The sequence below is a fragment of the Homo sapiens genome, chromosome 4 (genome assembly GCF_000001405.40).
Source record: "Homo sapiens chromosome 4, GRCh38.p14 Primary Assembly".
Taxonomy (NCBI): domain Eukaryota; kingdom Metazoa; phylum Chordata; class Mammalia; order Primates; family Hominidae; genus Homo; species Homo sapiens.
In genome coordinates, this window is record NC_000004.12 from 74,325,049 (window position 1) to 74,345,803 (window position 20,755).

Sequence of the window (20,755 nt, forward strand, 5' to 3'; positions counted from 1 at the left end):
TTCCCATAAATCAGTTTTACCATATTCCAGACTTGTGTAAATAACAAATATTTTTCCTACTTTGCGTATTAAATACATAGCAAAAAGAGTTCCAGCGTTCTGCAATGTCTCCAGATAACAAATAAACTGAAAATTCTGTTTTTCTAGAACATCCTTCTTAACTTACTTGAAACAAGAAATTTGGTTTATAATCTTATACAGAGTATTTACGATGAGAAAAATTCAGAAAAACTTGAAATCATGAGGCATGTTGAAAAAAAGTAATTGCCCGTTACTGCACTGAACTTGAAAATGAAGCATTTAAGGCGGGCTTTTAACCACACTTGGTGAACCAGTAGTGGCAAGCAACAGCAGATTTATAAATTTTTAAAAAATAGTGAGATAATTGATTAAAGATCAGTTTATTGCTTTGAAGCAAATGACCCAAAATCTTGATGTTTCTTTAGTGAGAATATCCCAAGAAATAAATTCATAAAAATCATCAGTCTCACTGTGCTTTTAAAAACTACCAGCCACATTGGAAAGAAAATCATGTCCATTTTGCAACTTCAAAAAAGAGAAATAACTAGGTAGAATGGAGAATCCAATTAGAGGACCAAACTGAAAATGGCTTAAAGCCTCCTTCAATGTCAATGTCAGAATCACCTTGGATAGCAAAGTGGATCTAACTGGAGAATACTTTATGAGACCCCCACCTTTATCATACGACCACAAGCTGAAACCAAGCTGAAAAACGTGACTTTATAAAACTCTCATTTGAATATTAAATGAATAATTGGAAGATTGAGTTTAATCTAAATTTGTTTAACCTTAAAATTGAATGGGAGCCAATAATTTAGTTATTGCCTTTTATGTAGTTTTTAAATTTGCCTTTTTTATAAGGATGGTGTCTGATGACCTAGATTTGTTAACCATTTTATGTAAAACAACTGAAGACATTTTAGAGCAGACAAGTGAGTTTTTGGCATACTTGGAATTGATTGAAGAAATGATACAGTATTTAGACATTTAGGTAAAATTTATGGCACAAAGGTTTCTGATGGGATAGCCCACATCAAAGCTATTGTGTGTTGTAATTGGACTCTAAGCCCCACTTCAAAGATTTTGCTTGATAATTTTCTCAACGTGTCTAATGGATTGGCATAAATGTTAAAATTAAAATAAGCAAATCAAAAATTACAGTAGTTCGAATGTTCTATTTTAGAGAAATCTGTAATAAAATAAGAATAAATTAAGATGTAATAAAATCAGATTTTGAAAATTTGTACTTATATGCTGGTATAGAAGAGCATAGGAGGTACTCATCAGTCTTCAAATCAAAAATTGAATAATTATTTTCTATATGAACAACAATAATTAAAAATAGCAGCATCACAACAAAAAATTTAAACAATAAAACTACAAAATGACAGTAAATCCATGGCTTATTTTAAAATTGTGCTTAAAAGTTGGCTAAAACAAGCAATATGTTTAAGACAATGCTCAGTGAACTAATGTGAATACTTTTGTAAATGATGAATTTAACTGTGTGTACTTTTGGCCATTCATTTTAGGATTACTTCTACCAATGATATACTAGTAATCACATTACTTAAATTACAAATTCTAGTAATTTTTGTATTTCTTAGCCAATTCATGAGAAAATTGTAAGCAATTCTCATCAGATATTTTAGGGTTACTTTATAATGAAACCCCTCATTAGTCCTAAACTCTTTAAATTCATTTATATTTAAATCACCTCTATGTTGCCATCTCTCCTTGAAAAACTGCCTGCATTCCTGGACTTTTCTTAATTAAATTCTATAGATCCAGTTTATAAATTTCAAATTCCATGATATATATATATAAAGATACGTGTGTGTGTGTGTATATATATATCTCTCTCATAAAATGTGTATACACACACTTACACACTTTTTTATTTTTTAAGAGACAGGATCTTGCTCTGTTACCCAGTCTGGAGTGCAGTGGCATGATCATCATTCACTGCAGCCTTGACCTCTTGGGTTCAAGCAATTTTCCTGCCTCAACCTCCCATGTAGCTGGGACCACAGGCTTGTGTCACCAAGCCTGGTAACTTTTTAGATTTTCTGTAGGCATGGGGTCTCCCTATGTTGCCCACACTGGTCTTGAACTTCTGGGCTCATGTGATTCTCCCACCTTGGCCTCATAAAATACTGGGATTAGAGGTGTGAGCTACCACCCCCAGCCACATGACATATGTTAAATTCCACTTGCCTTCACTATGTGTAGCAAGAATAAAACTGTTCACTGAATTCTAAGTATCAGTTGTTCTACAAATGAATGTGGCCTTGAAATAAAGGAATGACGAGCCTATGCAGAAATCTCCATACTCTGGATACCTTTCTTGGTGTGTTGACTGCCATGCTCTTTCATGCCGCCTCATATCAATGGCTCTAAATATTTAATGTGAAAAGTAATCATGTACAGTTGGTGTTTAATAAAATAAAAATTTCCAGGCTTTAACAGAAATAAAGAAAATCAGAATTCCAGTAAGCAGTGCCTAGGAGTCTATATTTTCAAAAATAATATATATATTTGCTATCCCAATTAGTCATAGGCACGCCCTGTTGAAGATCTTTGAAGGTAGAAATGAAAAGCAAACAAAATAACCATTTTCTTCGCAAAGAGACTATTACTCCTAACTCTGCCATTTTAAAACTTTATGCTTTCAAAAGATGGGGAAAAATCTGAAATATTGAGCACCAGAGATTTTCTAACAGATTGCTTTCAAAACATCCTATTCAAAGTATGTGGATAGACTGTTGATGTAAAATTTAGCCATAAAAATTTTTTGGCTTCAAACTTACGTAGGAAATTTGTTATAGCTTGTTGAAGAGCAGCGTGAATAAAACAGGAAGCACAAAAAATTATTCCAGCTAAAGTTATGTGTCATGGCTTTTCCTGTGTGTCATCCATGTAAAGTTCTTTATATGCGAATTTTTATTAATGAGAGACTGCCACACAAAAATGAGAGTCATTCTTACCAAAATGTATGAGAAAGAAAAAGTTCCCTGTGAGGATATGTCTGAAAATGCTCTGAAATGTCAATTAATGCCAACTCCTCTTTCTGTGCTGGCACTAGTAAAGTGCTATCCTTTCTTTCTCTTCAGCATACTCATTTTGATAATTTGCTGTTCACTGCCTATTATGTGATTCTAACAGCATCTTTTCAAAATTACAGATGGCTATTCAAATATCAGCTCTATTGAAAACCTTGGAGTACAAAATGAGACAGCTTGAACCTCAACCATATCACTTCAGCAGGAATGTTCATTTAACACTAACACAACTCTGTCACAACAAAACGATGTATTACAGATTTCCTGTATTTTTTTTTTTTTTAGTTAGCAGAGCAATAGAAGCTGATGCCATCATTGGGATTCATAACATAATTGTGTAAAGTTCTTTTTCTATGGCTTTTGATATCATCATAGTTATAACATTTTCCTGCATACATTTTAACCTGGAAAACTATTTGAGTGTCAGAAGTTGCTACTACGTGACTGAACTCAAAAGACAGAAATCTCTAAGTGTCAAAAAGAGAATGATTTCTGGAGTCATAGAGCTGAAGTTGAAGCATCATGTGGAGAAAGGAATTGTGGTTGGGATTGTATTAGATAGATGCCTCAGGGCATGGTTAGCCTTAAGATGCCTTAGGATTGTTATGATCTCATGAGAAGATGAAGCCCTGAGCTAGGAAATTTCTATTCTATTTATGATCAAAGACTAGAAAATCTGCACCAGACAGTCAAGATTTCAATAAATGTGAAAAAATTACACAGGCTGTGGGTAGAAACAGAGTCAACTCCAAAAAATCAGAACTTGAATATATACCAAGAAGAAGCAGGGGCCTGAAATCACATTACTCATATGGCATAGTAAAATAAAAGAAGTGTGTATGGCAGTGTAAAATACAGTGTAAAAGTAGTGTGTATGGCAGTGTAAAATAAAAGAAAGATTCAGAACTAGTGGCCCTCACTGCACCTAAGCAGAGTTATACATAGACAGTCTTATGGAGAAGTTCTATAGCAAATGGTATGTGATGACCTTCCAGAGAACAAATTCCAACTTAAGATGACCTCATGAATAAAAATTATAAAACACACAGATAATTTCAGAGGAGAGGGTGTCCATAGACCCAACTAGTGTGGAATTCATACCAAAGTAATTAGAGAAATTATGATCTAACTGGCCTTTTGAAAAGTGGAGCTTAAAATGTTCAGAGACAAGAAAGGAAACACCCCAGAAGATAAGAGCATTATATGGATAAAATAGACAAGTAAAAATCCTACAGTTAAAAATACAGTCTTCAGTATTTAAAAACATATCTTGTAAGTAGAATAAGTACTACAGTAGGCACAGCTGAAGAGAAGATTAGAAATATGGAAGATGATCTGAAGAAATCAGCTAGAATGCATCACAAAGTAAAGAGATGTAAAGCATGAAAATTTCAGAAAAAAAAAAAAAGCCCAACATGAGTTCCAGAAGGAAAGGCTAGGTTAGAGGAAATATCTAAGAGATAATGGCTGAGAACTTTCAGAATGAAAGCAGGATATAAATCTTTAAATTGAAGTTGTATTCATAGTCTTAAAACTTAGTTTAAAAAACATAGTTTAAAAACTTCAAAGCCATACACACAAAAAGAAATATTACTAAAAAAGAAAACTAGTTAATTATAATGGCAGTAGATTTCTCATCAGTGAAAGTAGATGCCATAACACAATGGAATAAAGTGTTCAAAATACTCAGGGGAAATCTCTGTTAACATAGAATTCTACCACCTTTGATAGTAAAAACAAAAAAATAGACATTCAGCCACAGCCACAAAGGATCTTGGTATTTCTAACAAGTAAACTCAAACCACTTATGTATAATTGAAGCTACAAAAATTCAACCATGGTCTATACAACAAGTTAATTTCACATTTTTTTCAAGGACAGACAAAGTTTAAATGCAAAGTTTTCTAGGACAAATATTTTAACAGATATAGTTTTTTAAACAAACATTTTGTGACTCAGGATTATAAATCAACCAAATTTATAAATTATTTTATTCTTCTTAGCAAACATATGGAAAGAGAAACTCAACTTTATGATGATAATATAAAAAACAAACAAAGACTTACCACAATGGTTCATGCTTATAACTTCACCTCTTTAGGAGGCTGACGTGTGAGGGTCACTTGAAACCAGGAATTTCAGACCAGCTGGGCAACAAAGGGAGACCTCATCTCTAAAAAAAATTGTTTTAAATAAATTAGCTGAGTGTGGTGGCACACGCCTGTGGTCCCAGCTACTCGGGAGGGTGAGGTTGGGGATGGCTTGAGCCCAGGAGGTCGAGGCTACAGTGAGCTGTTATTGCACCACTACATTCCAGCCTGGTGATGAAACAGGAATTAAAAGAAATTAAAGAACGTGTAAGCGAAAACTCAGTTGTATGTAAAAAAACCCAATTCCCCCTGAGAAAGAAAAAGAGGTGGAGTCCTTTAAAAATTAACGCCTGTTTTTCTGTCTGTGGCTTGTGAGTCTTATCTCTCTCTTTCCCAGGCATTGCGAAGATCCTGTTTCTCTAACTGTGCAGTTGCAAGGTTACTAGGCAGATAAACTCAAGTCGTAAAACATGTTTTTCCTTGAAAAGTTAGAAATAATGTAATGAGTGTCTCAATTGAATAACGGTCTTTGTTTCTCACTTCTGTAATATGCTTCCCCCTGCAAAGATCTCCCGCTGCCCCATGAAATGCTTAAAAGGTAACCTCACTCTTTGTTCGGGGCTCAGTCTTTTTGGATGCTAATCTGACTAGGCCAGTGCACCTAAATAATAAATAATATATATCCTCTCCGGCCCCTCAGTCTCTCTGATTCCTAAATTATCCCACTGCAGTGACACAGTGAGATCCTAAGAAAACAAACAATAAATTTAATGTAATTTTGTAGTAATTCACCGGTTAATGTTTGCTTACTTTCTTTTTTCTATATAATCTATGTTATAATCAGAGGTTTACCTTTCCAAAGACTAATGGTAGTTGTCTTCTAATTTTTTTCAAGTTTCCCCATTAAACTCATCCTTAGGGCTTGTAAACTCCTATTGTCCTTCCCAGCAAAGTCTAAGTTGAAGAACGTAGAGCTTATAATATTCTGTATCTACAAAAGACTAAGAGTTTAATATCTCTTGTATTGGTTCATTCTCACACTGGTGTAAAGAATTACCTGAAACTGGGTAACTTATAAAAAGAGATTTAATCAACTCACAGTTCCACAGGCTGTACAAGAGGCATGCCTGGGGAGGCCTCAGGAAAGTTACAATCATGGTGGAAGGGTGAAGGGGAAGCAAGCATGTCTTTACATGGTGGCATGAGAGAGACAGAGAAGTGGGAGTGCCACACACTTTTAAACCACCAGATCCCACGAGAATTCACTCACTATCATGAGAACAGCAAGGGGGACATGCACCCCCATGATCCAATTACCTGCCACCAGGTCCTTCCCCCAACATTGAGAACTGCAATTCAACATGAGATTTGGGTAGGGAGACAGAGACAAACCATATCACCTCTAAACGATACTGAAGACTGCCAGTGAATGTATTTCAGCAAGATGAAACAAGAACCCAGGAGAAAAAAATACCATGCAAGTATCAGTGATGAGCAAGGAAGTCAGAGATATGTGTTTGTCAATTGAGTAGAAATTAAAATTAATTTGTGACAACATTTACAAATTAACAATGTGAAACTTAAACACCAGACAACAATAATAAAGGAAGATTGGAGGGAAAATTTAGAAAGGAGTTCCGGTGTGCTAAATTCTTGTCTTGTTCAAATAAAGAACAAAGATATTGACTAAAAAGAGACCATGTTACAAAATTATAAAAACTAAGAATGACTGTAAAAGATATAGTTAACTATTAATATCATTAAATATTTATGTCTTAAGGAGAAGTACTATGTATCACTTTTAAAATAGGAGAGAAACTAAAAGCAGGGACTCCAGTGCTACAAAGCTTGGGTTTCTTGGTGCCACCATTTACAATACATGAACCTTGGGAAAGCTATGTAAGCTCTCTTCACCTCAGTTTCTTCATTCATAAAATGGGGATAATAGTAGAACTAACTCATAAAATTGTTATAAGGATTAGCTAATAGGTGATTTAATATACTAGTTACATATGGAGTTATGACTTCAATATATGGAAAGCACATTGAACAGAGCATAGTAAGAAAAAAATACTATATAAGTTTAGGTATTTTATCTATATTATCTAATTTCATATGTTAAAAAGAACTGGAAGCAAATATTAAAAATTTACAATTTACAAGGTGGGTATATAAATTTTGAGTAGATAAATCTTTGGACTGTTCTACGTTTTTAAAATTTATCCAAAAAAAAAAAAAAGGCAGGAGTAAAGAAAGAAAGGGAGGGAGAGAGAAAGCTGGGAGGAAAAAGGGGAAGAAAAACTTCAGGTGACTACCCAGCAAAGAGCAAAAGACGGGAGATATTTCTGTTATTGTGACCCAAAAGTTGTCAAGGCCTATAAAATGCAGATTACACTTGGATTAAATAGAAACATATTAACATAACCAAGTACTGTAATGATTTTAAGGAGAATGTTGAAAAATGGAGGACGCTCACCTAGAAATACCCAAGTATAGCTGCCTGTCTCTTAAAACTGTCATGAAAAATATTGATCATAAAATTGAAACCTTTATGAGAATGATTTCTTATATCTGTGCTGCAAGGTTACATAATGAACAAAGACAGGTAAAACTCATCTCAGAATGGAGTAAAATTAGCTGCATCTTCTGTTTCAAGTAAGATTGAATATTTTCCTTTGTTTTTTGGACATTTGTCATTCTAGTTTAGTAAAATGTCGGTTCATCTTCACAGCTTATTTATCTATTAGGTTGAATGATTTTTTAATTTAGATATAAAAAATTTAAAACACTTCAAATATTAACCCTTTAACATTTGTGTTGCAAATGCTTATTCCAAGTCATTTCCCCATTTTTATTTAGTCTATATTTCTCTTTGAAATACATAATTTTAAAAGTGATATTTTCACATAGAAAGATCTTTACCACAAGTTATTTTTGCTTTAGAAGTTTTTCCATTCACACACAAAAAAGTTGACTTATTTTATTTTTTAAAGATTCTGTGTATAGCAAGATGAAAATTTTAGTTCTTTTTAAATTTATCATGACTCATTTGTCACGTATCTATTTATTATATATAGTAAGGCAAAAAATGTATACTATATATATTTACTTTGTATTCATATTTACAAGATCAAGTCCTATTTTATTGCTCACTCTTCCTCTTTTAGAACCAGTCCAATACATATATTTAATAAGTACAGCTATATAAAATGCTTGGAGTTCAGGTAAAGTTAGAATATTATTATCAAGCTTAATTTTCAAAATTGTATGCCTGTTAAGCTTCTGAGAAAACAGAGCCGGGCACAGTGGCTTACATCCATAATCCCAGCACTTTGGGAGGCTGAGGCAGGTAGATCACTTGAACCTAGGAGTTTGAGACGAGCCTGGTCAACATGGCAAGAGCTCATCTCTACTAAAAATATGAAAATTAGCCAGGTGTGGTGGTGCATATCTGCAATCCTGGCTACTTGAGAGGCTGAGGCACAACAATCACTTGAATCCGGAAGTTGGAGGTTGCAGTGGGCTGAGATCTTGTCACTGCACTCCAACCTGGGTGACAGAGTGAGACTGTCTCAAAAAGGAAAAAACAGTTCCCTTGTAATAGATCGTATATGAACATGATATAAAGGATAATAAAAAGGGTATTCAGATAATGGTAGTACTTCCTTCCATTATTGTTTCCTAACCACTAGTTATACTTTTCAGAGATAAAAATTATTTTGTATCACTTCACATATTTTCTAAGCATAAACTAGTGACACAGGATTCTGTTGTTCAGCATGCAGAGGGAATGGCACCCAAGCAGCTTCTTTTCTTCCCTGTGGCTCCACCAGCAGGAGGGAGCGGTTACTGTGTTACAGGAGTTTTTTGGGGGTACTTAGCCAGCCGGAAATCTCATAGCCAGTGGCGTCTCTGCCCCAGCTTCGCTCATGACCACAGGGTTTGCTCTGCCCACTCAACCCAGTGGGCTACACTCAGCTCGCGCTACCAGCCCAGAACCTGCTCCCGCTGCAGCTCTGCACTCAGCTTGCTATTGGTCCAGGCATGTCGCAACTGGCTTCCACCTTGGGCACTGGTGTCTGGATGAGGGGGATGTAGTGGTGCCCAAAAACTAGGAGTGGCAAGCAACTGCGGAGCTCCAAGTGGTGTTATGGCTCTCACCCAAGGAGTCCTGAGGTCTGAGCCACCAAGAGATGTTACAGCTCCCTCGCGTTCCTGCCGCCTGCAACATGGCAAACGGGGGCGTGTTACAGATCATTCGTTTTACAGTTCATTTGTGTTATATCTCGTTTGTTCCCGCTGCCCACAGGGCGAGTTCTGGGTTTTTGTCCTGCAACCAAGAGGAATTAGGTACGCAGACAGTGGAGAGTAAGCAGCGTGGAGAAGAATTTTATTGAGCAACAGAAGGAAAGCTGTCAGTGGAGAGGGGACCCAAGGGAGGGAAGTCATCTGCGTGAGAGGGGGCCCAGAAAGTGAGTAATCCAATGTATGGCTCAGTTCAGGGTTTTCAATGGCTCAGAAGAGGAGAGTGCATTCTGACTGGTCCATGGGGAGGCGTGGAAAAAGCACCATTTGACTGGCTAAAATGCGCTGAGGGTATTCTCACTCTGGTCTTGGACGCTATCCAGAACTGTCTGCTGGGTTTTCAGGCTTCAGGCTGTCTTTGGCTTGAAGGTCGGCTTTCACCGGGGACCTGTCCCTATCTGCCTAGGAATCTGTCTGCCTCCTTTTGCTATCAATCCCTCCTCTGAAGAGGTACATCTAACTGCTGTTAGGATACAAACAGTAACCGCTCTTAACTGCTTCATGCTAACAGGGTGCACTGTTTTGGGAAAACGGCAGTCAGATCTCTCAGAGGCCTATCAAAGTGTTTCCCGGGTAATGGGACCAGGAAATGGGACCCATTGCCCGTGGCTCCATTTGCATGACCATTTGGAGTTTGATGGTCTCTAGGTGAGAATAAACAAATTTTACAAGGAGGTTAAATATGCGTGGACCAAATATGTGTAGTATACAAAGAGGAGCTAAAAGGAAAATCTCTATTGCCAACGATAACAGAAATAAGAAGTAAAATAGACTAATCATTCTGAAAACAATGTTGTGGCCACAGATATTTCACCCCAGTGAAGGAAATTAAATCTTGTATGGGGGAAGGCAATTAAACTTTAGAAGAGAGATAGCTGTTTAGGAGAGTAGATAATCCCAGGGACATTCAGTAATAAGGAGTCTTGGCAAAGATGCCTTATGGTGAGGAACAGAACAAAGGCGAGTACAGCAAGCATAGGTGAGATTATAAAGAGGATATCCATTGAAGGTTAATTATTGACACTTAAGTTTTGTTTCTTCACACTGTTGCTTTGGGTGCTCTTCTGGGTCAACAGAGGTAATTTCATCAGTTTCCCAGACTTTACTCGAGTATAATTAATCCAAGAATCTATTCCAGTGAACTTTACTGATGTAGGAGTAGAAAGAATTACAGTTGAAGGCCCCTCCCAATCTAGGCCACAGAGAGAGAAAAGGAAAGAAGAGCCTTTACCAGTACTAGGTCTCCTGGGTTGAATAGAGGTGGTTCTACTTCACGGGATTGGTCCTCCGACAGTTGTTTCAGTTCCTATTGGAAATGGGCCAAAGAAGTTACATGTCTAATCAAATCAGGGGTTTGTTGGTTTAGCAAGAAACCACTGGTGAGAAAAGGCCATCTATACATCGTTTTGAAGGAACTTAAACCCAGCTTTGAAAGCTGTTTCTAACACATACTAGTGCCATGGAAAGAAGAGTAATCCAGGGGGAGATGAATCTCTTTAGACAGTTTTCTGAGGTGCCTTTTGATAATATCATTTGTCTTTTCTACGATTCCTGAGCATTGTGGTCTCCAAGCACAATGAAAATGATATTGCATGCCTAGTGCCTTTGAGACCTCCTAGGTGACAGCTGCTTTGAACAAGGGGCTGTCATACCATACTGGAAACATTAGTTTTGGGCTTTTTTAACCTAATATTATGTATTTGTAGATTTTTCAGTGCCAGTGTATTCAAGGCTGTGTCATTTATTCCAGAGTTGTAGAGTACTGCCTTGTTTGATGCACCATGTTGATTAACCAGTATTTAGTTTATGGATATTAACATTGCCTCAAGTCTCCTGTCAGAACAAATAAGACAATTCCTACTATTCTTACTATTACAATCAGAAAGATATTTCAGTAAGATGGCTGAAAAAAATTTATATATACAATTTAATGGCATTCCTATATAGAATCAATAACCAATTAGAATATAAAATGGAAAACAGTAATCACAGAATGATTTTTAATATCTTTCAATAAATTTAATAAGAAATGTGTAAGAGCCCTATGAACAAAATGTTAAAATGCTATTATGGGAGATAAAAGAGCATTTGAATCTATTGGAAAATATACCCACTCTTGCATAGAAACACTCAGCATCATGATAATGTAAATTCTCTCTAAGGAAAGCCTTGAGATTTTATACAACATTAACAAAACAACACCTGGTCAATTTGTGAAACAGACTGGCTGCATCAATAAAGCAAAACAGAATCAAAAGATAAGAAGCAATAGAGTAGAGTCTTAACACTAAGATAACATTACAGATCAGTGCATAAGAACATAGATCATTCCATAAATGATGTTGAGAAATTGAGATAGACATATAAAAAATAAGCTGCTTACTTACTCTTTGCACTAAAACAAATTTTAGATGAATCAAGTATTTAAACATAAAAATGAAGCTATGAAAGTACTAGAGAAGGCAAGGGAATTTTTTTTATAATATTTAAGTGAAAGCCTTCTTGAGTGTGGACAAGGAAACAGAAATTGTAAAATAAAAGACAAATAAATTCAACCACACAACACGTTAGAGGTGTCAAAAAAGTATCATAAGAAAATCAAAGTCCAAACAAAATACTGGCAAGACATCCCTAAAGCAAAGGACCAATTTTCTTTATATAAATGATGCTTTACTTCTGTTTAATGGTGTAGCCCTCGGGTTGATAAAGAAATGGAAACATTATCACATTTTAAATATAAGAAGCAATACATCTTTGAGTCAGCAACCTTGGTTCTAGGAACTTATCCTTATAAAATATGCTTTCATATCTTCAACATGATACACATAGTCGGCTGGACATGGTGGCTCATGCCTATAATCCCAGCACTTTGGGAGGCCAAGGCAAGAGGATCACTCGACCCCAGGAGTTTGAGAACAGCTTGGCCAACATGGTGAAACTCCATCTCTACTAAAAATACAAAAAATTAGCCAGGCGTGGTGGTGCATGCCTCTAATCCCAGCTACTCAGGTGGCTGAGGCAGGAGAATCTCTTGAGTCCAAGAGGTGGAGGTTGCACCAAGCCAAGATTGTGCCACTGCACTCACAGCCTGGGCAACAGAGCAAGACTGTTTCAGAAAAAAGAAAGGAATAATAGTCTTACTTTCCTCCTAAGGGGTTGTAAAGATCAAATCTATATTAGGTTGTTTGAGCTGCCATAACAAAATACTACAGATTAGGCGGCTTGAAAAACAAAAGGTTATTTTCTCAGCTTTGCAGACTAGAGGGCTAAGATCAAGGTGTCAGACAGTTTGGTTTCTCCTGAGGCTTCTCTTTCTGGCTTGTGGACAGCCGCCTTCTAGCTCTGTTCTTTCCTCTGAGTGTTCTAATGTTTCTGGTATCTCTTTGTAGGCCCAAATTTCTTTTTCTTATGACACCATTCAGATTGGATTCTGGCCTACCCTAACCACCTCCTTTAAACTTAATCACTTTTTTGAAGACTTTATCTCAAAATACAATCACATTCTGAGCTACTAAGCGCTAGGACTTTAACATATGAATTTTGGAGAAACACCATTTAGCTTATAAGAGATCACTGTCCATTCTGTTTCAAACAATAATGTTTTTATCCTGCTACTGCAAAATTACCCTCACTCAAATCAGTGGAATCAATGGAATTAGTTTAGCTAGTAGGAATGCTAAAATAATGAAAAAAATAATGGCTCTGTGAATGGAAGGATTTGTTTGTGAAACTTGTTATATTTCAATGCCACTAATAATATCATATACTCTGTGACTAATGTTTAAGTGAATAAATAATTTTATGAGTATTTAAAGCAAATACTAGTTGACTTGTAGTTTTATAGGTAACTACCGAATTACTGAATCTTTCAGACGTTTTCTCAGATTATTATTATGTGTGCTTTCAAGGGTCTTCTTGGGACTTTATTTAATCCATTTAATAACTTAGCTGTGTCCTTGAAAAAATAAGACTTCAGATATGCAGCCATTCCAAAAATGTTGTAATATTTATAGTTTCTGAAAAAAATTCTAAAGAAAAACTTAAGCTCAGGCTTATAAAGTTTATTTTACAGCATTTACAATATACAATTGATATCAACTCAAGAACCAAAATGAAAAAAGATGTTATGCTTATCAATAAACAAAAACCAGATAAAGGAATAATCAAATTATTTATTTCTGTTTTCCAGCTTAGATACACAGTAAACTATAAACAGTTAAAAGTGAAATTAATTCCCATATTATACCTGATGACTTTTAACACAAATAAATATCTTCTTTTTTATTTATTACCTATCCCCCAGACAAAGAAGTTTAGACATTTAAAAAATACTATGTCTTATTGCTCAATTCTCTTTTGTAAAAAACAAAGATCTTCCCCACATTAAATTTTGAAGAGTTGGTGTTTATAATTAAGTATCTTCGTGATTACCCAACAACTGTGCATACGTGAAAACATTGCTTAGCCGTCATGACATTGCAACACTCTCCACAAATGAGGAAATTCATATCCAGTAAACTTTTATTTATTTTGCAATAATATAAAGGACCCTTTCTAACATTTAGTGATATGCTGTTTATCTGAAATCTTTGTCATGGACAAGGATTGTTTCTTAGCCAGTGTGAGTATGTGTGTGTGTATGTGCCTGTGTCTGTGTTTAGGGAGAAATGACGTATTATGTCCTGAGTACCTTCTATTCACCAGGCATTATCTTCAGCACTTTGAATATGTGAAATTATTTCAATCTCAGAAGTATTTCATGGTATATGTTCTGTTAGCTCCATTCTATAGATAAAACTATCACTCAAGCCTGTTAAACAACTCCAACTTAATAAGTGTGGGATCTGGGATTCAGAAATGAAGTTTAAAAACAGTGAGAAGCACTGTTACGTATGCACATTGGCAGAGTTATGTATGTGCATTAGCAGAGTCAAGACCCCAAGAAGTTACCTAGTCTTTACATAAAATGTCACCGAAACACAGATATCAGTCTATCCTCCCTCCACCCTCCAAAATATTCAAGAATGACACTATACCAATTCTTTGTGATCTATTTCAGTCTCCATTCTTAACTGCCAGAGTACATCCTGGAAGCCCTTTACCCCTTAAGAACACCCTGTTTGTCCTGTCTTAGCTGAAAGAGAGAGTATGTTCACCACCACTCATAACTGAAAATTCTCTTTGTACTGAAAGCACCTATTCCTTTTTCTGTTCTTGGTTGTCTGCTCAGCCCAGAGATTCTGGCAGGGACACTGATCTGAATCTGTTCTCATCTCAGGTTTCTCCAGGGGTTCCCAGGACAATCCTGCCACCAAATCAGAACATAAAGTAAACTCCTGGAACAGAAGCTCTGTCAACATTAATCAAATACTTCCATGTTTTTATTTCAAATAGGAATGACTCTGAGTTGGACTAGATCTCTTCATGCTTACCCAAGCTATCTTACCTATCAGCATAACTGAGAATTCAACAAGGAGGTAAAGAGGAACAATGGGGTAAGTTTAAATATCTCCACATTTTTCAAAATAGATAAGTGAAAGAAATCTATGAGGTTTGTATTTATTTTACCAGCACATTTATATTAAAACATCCAACAAGTATATTTTTACCACTACATTCCTATGACTATATCTATGACATAATTAGTGTTCATTCTTAAGTGCTTAGGTGATTATAATAATAGTTATTATATAGGTTCTTTGCATATCTAATATTGTCTTTGTTTCTAGTTACAGACATTAGATCCAAGACACTTAGTCACTGGGTATTTTCTTTTTCAGATCTCTGGTTTTACTATATAAATCTATCAGCCAGTCAAATTCTTACATGTCTATTTTAAGTATGGGAGAGGCTCCAAAGAGAAGGTGAGTTCACAGACAGAGGTTGAATAAATGCAAACTTCTGATTGTCAGTGATGAAGTTGTTAAATCTTATAATGATTTTTGATGGATTTTTTTGCAAATTGGAAAATACATGAGTCAAGATCATTTGGGGAATGCTGTTAAGAATGAGATTGAACATGCAGTGTTTGGTTTTCTGTTCCTGTGTTAGTTGGCTGAGAATGATGGTTTCTAGCTTCATCCATGTCTCTGGAAAGGACATGAACTTATCCTTTTTTATGGCTGCATAGTATTCCATGGTGTATATGTATCACATGTTCTTTATCCAGTCTATCATTGATGAGCATTTGGGTTGGTTTCAAGTGTTTGCTATTGTGAATAGTGCTGCAATAAACATATGTGTGCATGTGTCTTTATAGTAGAGTAATTTATAATACTTTGGGTATATACCCAGTGATGGGATTGCTGGGTCAAATGGTATTTCTTGTTCTAGATCCTTGAGGAATCACCACACTGTCTTCCACAATGGTTAAACTAATTTACACTCCTACTAACAGTATAAAATTTTTCCTATTTCTCTATATCCTCTCCAGCATCTGTTGTTTCCTGACTTTTTAATGATCGCCATTCTAGCTGGTGTGAAATGGTATCTCATTGTGGTTTTGATTTGCATTTCTTTAATGACCAGGGATGATGAGCTTTTTTCCATATGTTTGTTGGCCGCACAAATGTCTTCTTTTGAGAAGTGTCTGTTCATATCCTTCACCCACTTTTTGATGGGGTTGTTTTATTTTTTTCTTGTAAATTTGTTTAAGTTCCTTGTAGATTCTGGAGATCAGCCCTTTGTCAGATGGACAGATTACAAAAATTTTCTCCCATTCTGTAGGTTGCCTGTTCACTCTGATAATAGTTGCTTTTGCTGTGCAGAAGCTCTTTAGTTTAATTACATCTCATTTGTCTATTTTGGATTTTGTTGCCCTTGCTTTTGGTGTTTTAGTCATGAAGTCTTTGCCCATGCCTATGTCCTGAATGGTATTGCCTAGGTTTTCTTCTAGGGTTTTTATGATTTTAGGTCTTATGTTTAAGTCTTTAATCCATCTTGAGTTAATTTTTGTACAAGTTGTAAGGAAGGGGTACAGTTTCAGTTTTCTGCCTATGGCTAGCCAGTTTTCCCAACACCATTTATTAAATAGGGAATCCTTTCCTCATTGCTTGTTTTTGTCAGGTTTGTCAAAGATCAGATGGTTGTAGATGTGTGGCATTATTTCTGAGGCCTCTGTTCTGTTCCACTGGTCTATATATCTGTTTTGGTATCAGTACCATGCTGTTTTGGTTACTATAGCCTTGTAGTATAGTTTGAAGTCAGGTAGCATCATTCCTCCAGCTTTGCTCTTTTTGCTTAGGATTATCTTGGTTATACAGGATATTTTTTGGTTCCATATGAAATTTAAAGTAGTTTTTTTCTAATTCCATGAATTCTAATACTGTGAAGTCAATGGTAGCTTGATGGGGATAGCATTAAATCTATAAATTACTTTGGGCAATATGTCAATTTTCATGATATTTATTCTTCCTATTCCTGAGGATGGAATATTCTTCCACTTGTTTATGTCCTCTCTTATTTCCTTGAGCAGTTGTTTGTAGTTCTCCTTGAAGAGGTCCTTCACATCCCTTGTAAGTTGTATCCCTAGGTATTTTATTCTCTTTGTAGCAATTATGAATGGGAGTTCACTACACAGGGAGGGGAACATCACACACCAGGGCGTGTCAGGGGGTTGGGGGCTAGGGGAGGGATAGCATTAGGAGAAATACCTAATGTAGATGACAGGTTGATGGGTGCAGTAAACCATCATGGCACACGTATACCTATGTAACAAACCTGCATGTTCTGCACATGTATGATTTGATAAATATTTGGTTTCAGCTCCAATATGTAAAGATCTTAGAAGTTATTACTCTTATCCTTACAATAAGAAAAAGCTGAACAAGCTAAAAATAAACAAATTTTCTTAGATCTCTCAGAAAACTGAGGCCACAGGGCAAACTACCACCCCAAAATCCAGCAGATGAGTGAATCTTGAGAGTCACTGCTGAAATATGTTTATCTGAAGCAGTAGCAGCTGAAGTCAAAAACTGGTAGAAAAAAATGGTAAATTGGTAAATTGGGAGGCTGAGCATGCAGTAGCATAAGAATGAGAAACAGACAACTGTTGACAGAAGTCTTGAAGAACACACTTTAATGGGATTTATCTCTAGAAAATCCATCAGGTTCTCATGATGAAGATGTGAGAAACAGCCCCTCCTGGCCCTGGCAGGATGAGGGAAAGCATAGCCTTTGAAACATGCACAGAGCATTCTCCAAAACAAAGGCCTCCTCTCCACAAGAAATACTTTACCAGAGCCTTATCCCACCTGATGGAAGGATGTTATCCTACGCCAGCTCCCTCTAGTCCTCTTTACTCATTAGAAGGAGAAAAAAAGCTAAGAAATACCCGTGAAGTTTGCAGCCTAGGAAAACAGACTTACTAAAAGACATTATGCATAAGATTTTTGACAAAAAGAATTCTGTAAAATATTTAAAGAAGTTTATTCTGAGCCAGTATTAGTGACCATGGCCCAGGGAACGGTCTTATGAGAAACTGTGTCCAAGGCAATTCAGTTACAGTTTGAGTTTATATATTTTAGGGAGACAGGAATCATAGATAAAATCACAAATCAGCATATGGAAGGTATACATTTGTTCAGCCTAAAGAGGAGGGGTATCTTGAAGTGAGGAGGGGGATTGGGAGGAGCACTTACAGATCGATGTTAGGTCATTCTTGAATAGCTGTAAAGAAAGATCTGAGACAGGGAAATTTATAAAGAAAAGAGGTTTAATTGGCTCACAACTCTGCAGGCTATACAGGAAGCATGGTTCCACCATCTGCTCAAATTCTGGGGATGCCTGAAGGAGCTTTTACTCATGACAGAAGATAAAGTGGGAGCAGGCATATCACATGGTGAGAATGAGAAAAAGAAAGAGTGTCAGGAGAGGTGCCACAGACTTTTGAAAAACAGATATCCTGAGAACTCACCCACTATTGCAAGGACAGCACCAAGCCATGAGGGATCCACCCCTCAGTGACCCAAACACCTCCCACCAGGCCCCACTTCCAACACTGGGGATTACAATTCAACATGTGATTTGGCAGGGATGTATATTCAAACTATATTATTCTTCCCCTGGCCCTCCAAATCTCATGTCCTTCTCACATTGCAAAAACAATCATGCTTTCCCAATAGTCCCTGAAATTTATTCTTAACTCAATCCAGTGTTAACTCAAAAGTCCAAAGTCTCATCTGAGACAAGGCAATTCCCTTCCACTTCTGAGCCTATGAAATCAAAAACAAGTTATGTACTTCCAAGATGCAATGGGGGTGTAGGCATTGGGTAAACATTCCTGTTCTAAAAGGGAGAAATCAGCCAAAAGAAAGGGGCTACAGGCCCCATGCAAGTTCAAAACCCATCTGTGCAGCCCCAGAATAATCTTTTTTGACTCCATGTCCCACATTCAGGGCACACTGTTGCAAGGGGTGGGCTCCCAAGGCCTTGGGCAGCTCCACCCCCTGTGGCTTTGCATGGTTCAACTCTCATGGCTTCTCTCCCATGTTGGAGTTGAGTGCCTGTGACTTTTCCAGGCACAGGGTGCAAGCTGCTGGTGGATCTACCATTCTGGGATATGGAGGATGGTAGCTCTCTTCTTATAGCTCCACTAGGCAGTGCCCCAGTAGGGACTCTGTTTGGGGCCTCCAACTCTACATTTCTCTTCTGCATTGCCCTAGTAGAGGTTCTCTGTGTGGGCTCCACCCTGGCAGCAGTCTTCTGCCTGGATGCCCAGGCCTTCTTATGTATCCTCTGAAATCTAGGTGGAGGATGCCACGCCTCCTTTACTCATGCACTCTGTGAACTTACAGGCTTAACCCACATGGATGCCAGTAAGGCTTATAGCTTGTTCCCTCTAGAACAGTAGCCTGATTTAGCTGGACCCCTTTGAACAGAGACTGGAACCAGAGGTGGAGTGGCCATGATGTGAGGAGCAGCTTCCTAAGGTGTTGCAAGGCAGTGGTGCCCCTGGATTAGCCCTGAAAACATTCAGTCCTCCTGGGTCTCTGTTGCAAGGGGCTAGCTACCTCAGAGATCTTTAAAATGCCTTCAAGGGCTTTTACTCATTGTCTTGGACATTATCATTCGATTCTCTTTTAGTTATGCAAATCTTTTTAGCAAGTGGTTGCTCCAAAGCCTCCTTGAATTCCTCTCCCAAAAGAACTTTTTCTTTCTCTGCCACATGATCAGGCCGCACATTTTTCAAACGTTTATGCTCTACTTTCCTTTTAAATACAACTTCCAACTTCAAGTCATTTCTTTGCTCTTGCATCTTAGCATAGGTTGTTAGAAGCAGCCAGGTTACATCTTAAATATGTTACTGCTTAGAAAGTTCTTCCTCCAGGCTGGGCACAGTAGCTCATGCCTGTAATCCCAGCACTTTGGGAGGCTGAGGCTGGCGGATTACAAAATCAGGAGTTCAAGACCAGCCTGGCCAACATGTGAAACACTGTCTTTATCAAAAATACAAAAAATTAGCTGGGCGTGGTGGCGGGCGCCTGTATTCCCAGCCACTTGGGAGGCTGAGGCAGGAGAATTACTTAAACCCAGGAGATGGAGGTTGCGGTGAGCCAAGATCGCACCATTGCACTCCAGCCTGGGCAACAACAGCAAGATTCCATCTCAAAAAAAAAAAAAAAGAAAGGTCTTCCTCCAAATACCCTAGGTCATGTCTCTCAAGTTCAGACTTTCACAGATCCATAGAACATGAACAGAATGTAGTCAAGTTATTTGCTAAGGCATAACAAGGGTGAACTTTGCTTCAGTTTCTAATAAGTTCTTAATTTCCATCTCATACCTCATCAGCATGGACTTCATTGTCCATTTCACTATTAGCATTTTGGTCACAACAATTTAACCAGTCTCTGAGAAGTTCCAAACTTTCCCTCATCTTCCTCTCTTCTTCTGAGCCCTCCAAACTCTTCCAATCTCTGTCTGTTACCCAGTTCCACAGCTGCTTCCACAGTTTCAGGTATCTTTATAGCAATACCCCCAAACCTTGGTACCAGTTTTCTGTGTTAGGTCATTCTTGCCTTGCTATAAAGGAATATCTGAGACTGGGTAATTAATGAAGAAAATAATTTTAACTGGCTCACAACTCTGCAGGCTGTACAGAAAGCATGGTGCCAACATCTGCTTAGCTTCTGAGAAGGCCTCAGGGAGGTTTGACTTATAGTGGAAGGCAAACCAGCAGCAGTCACATTACATGGCAGGAATGGGAATGAGAGAGTGGGGTAGGAGGTGTCACACATTTTTTTTTTTAAAACGTATCTCCTGAGAACTCATTCTCTATTG

General features: G+C 37.2%; 1 long non-coding RNA gene across 2 annotated transcripts in view, besides 1 other annotated feature; it reads right to left on the reverse strand.

The window, feature by feature from the left end:
• LOC105377276 (uncharacterized) overlaps positions 1-20,755 on the reverse strand; it is an 87,048-nt gene that overhangs the window by 46,755 nt on the left and 19,538 nt on the right. Inside the window, exon 2 of one of the 2 annotated variants that reach the window (NR_188415.1) lies at positions 5,150-5,256. This is a non-coding gene — a long non-coding RNA (uncharacterized LOC105377276). Of the gene's footprint in view, positions 1-5,149; positions 5,422-20,755 lie in introns of those variants that run through there. The other variant, NR_188416.1, reaches the window with a different exon arrangement.
• Positions 5,439-5,738: a transcriptional cis regulatory region, noted in NCBI's record as "candidate enhancer chr4.1828 targeted for multiplex CRISPR interference". NCBI's record gives its function as "positively regulates EREG gene expression with high confidence in K562 cells {active_cell/tissue: K562}" and the evidence as "EXISTENCE:mutant phenotype evidence [ECO:0000015][PMID:30612741]".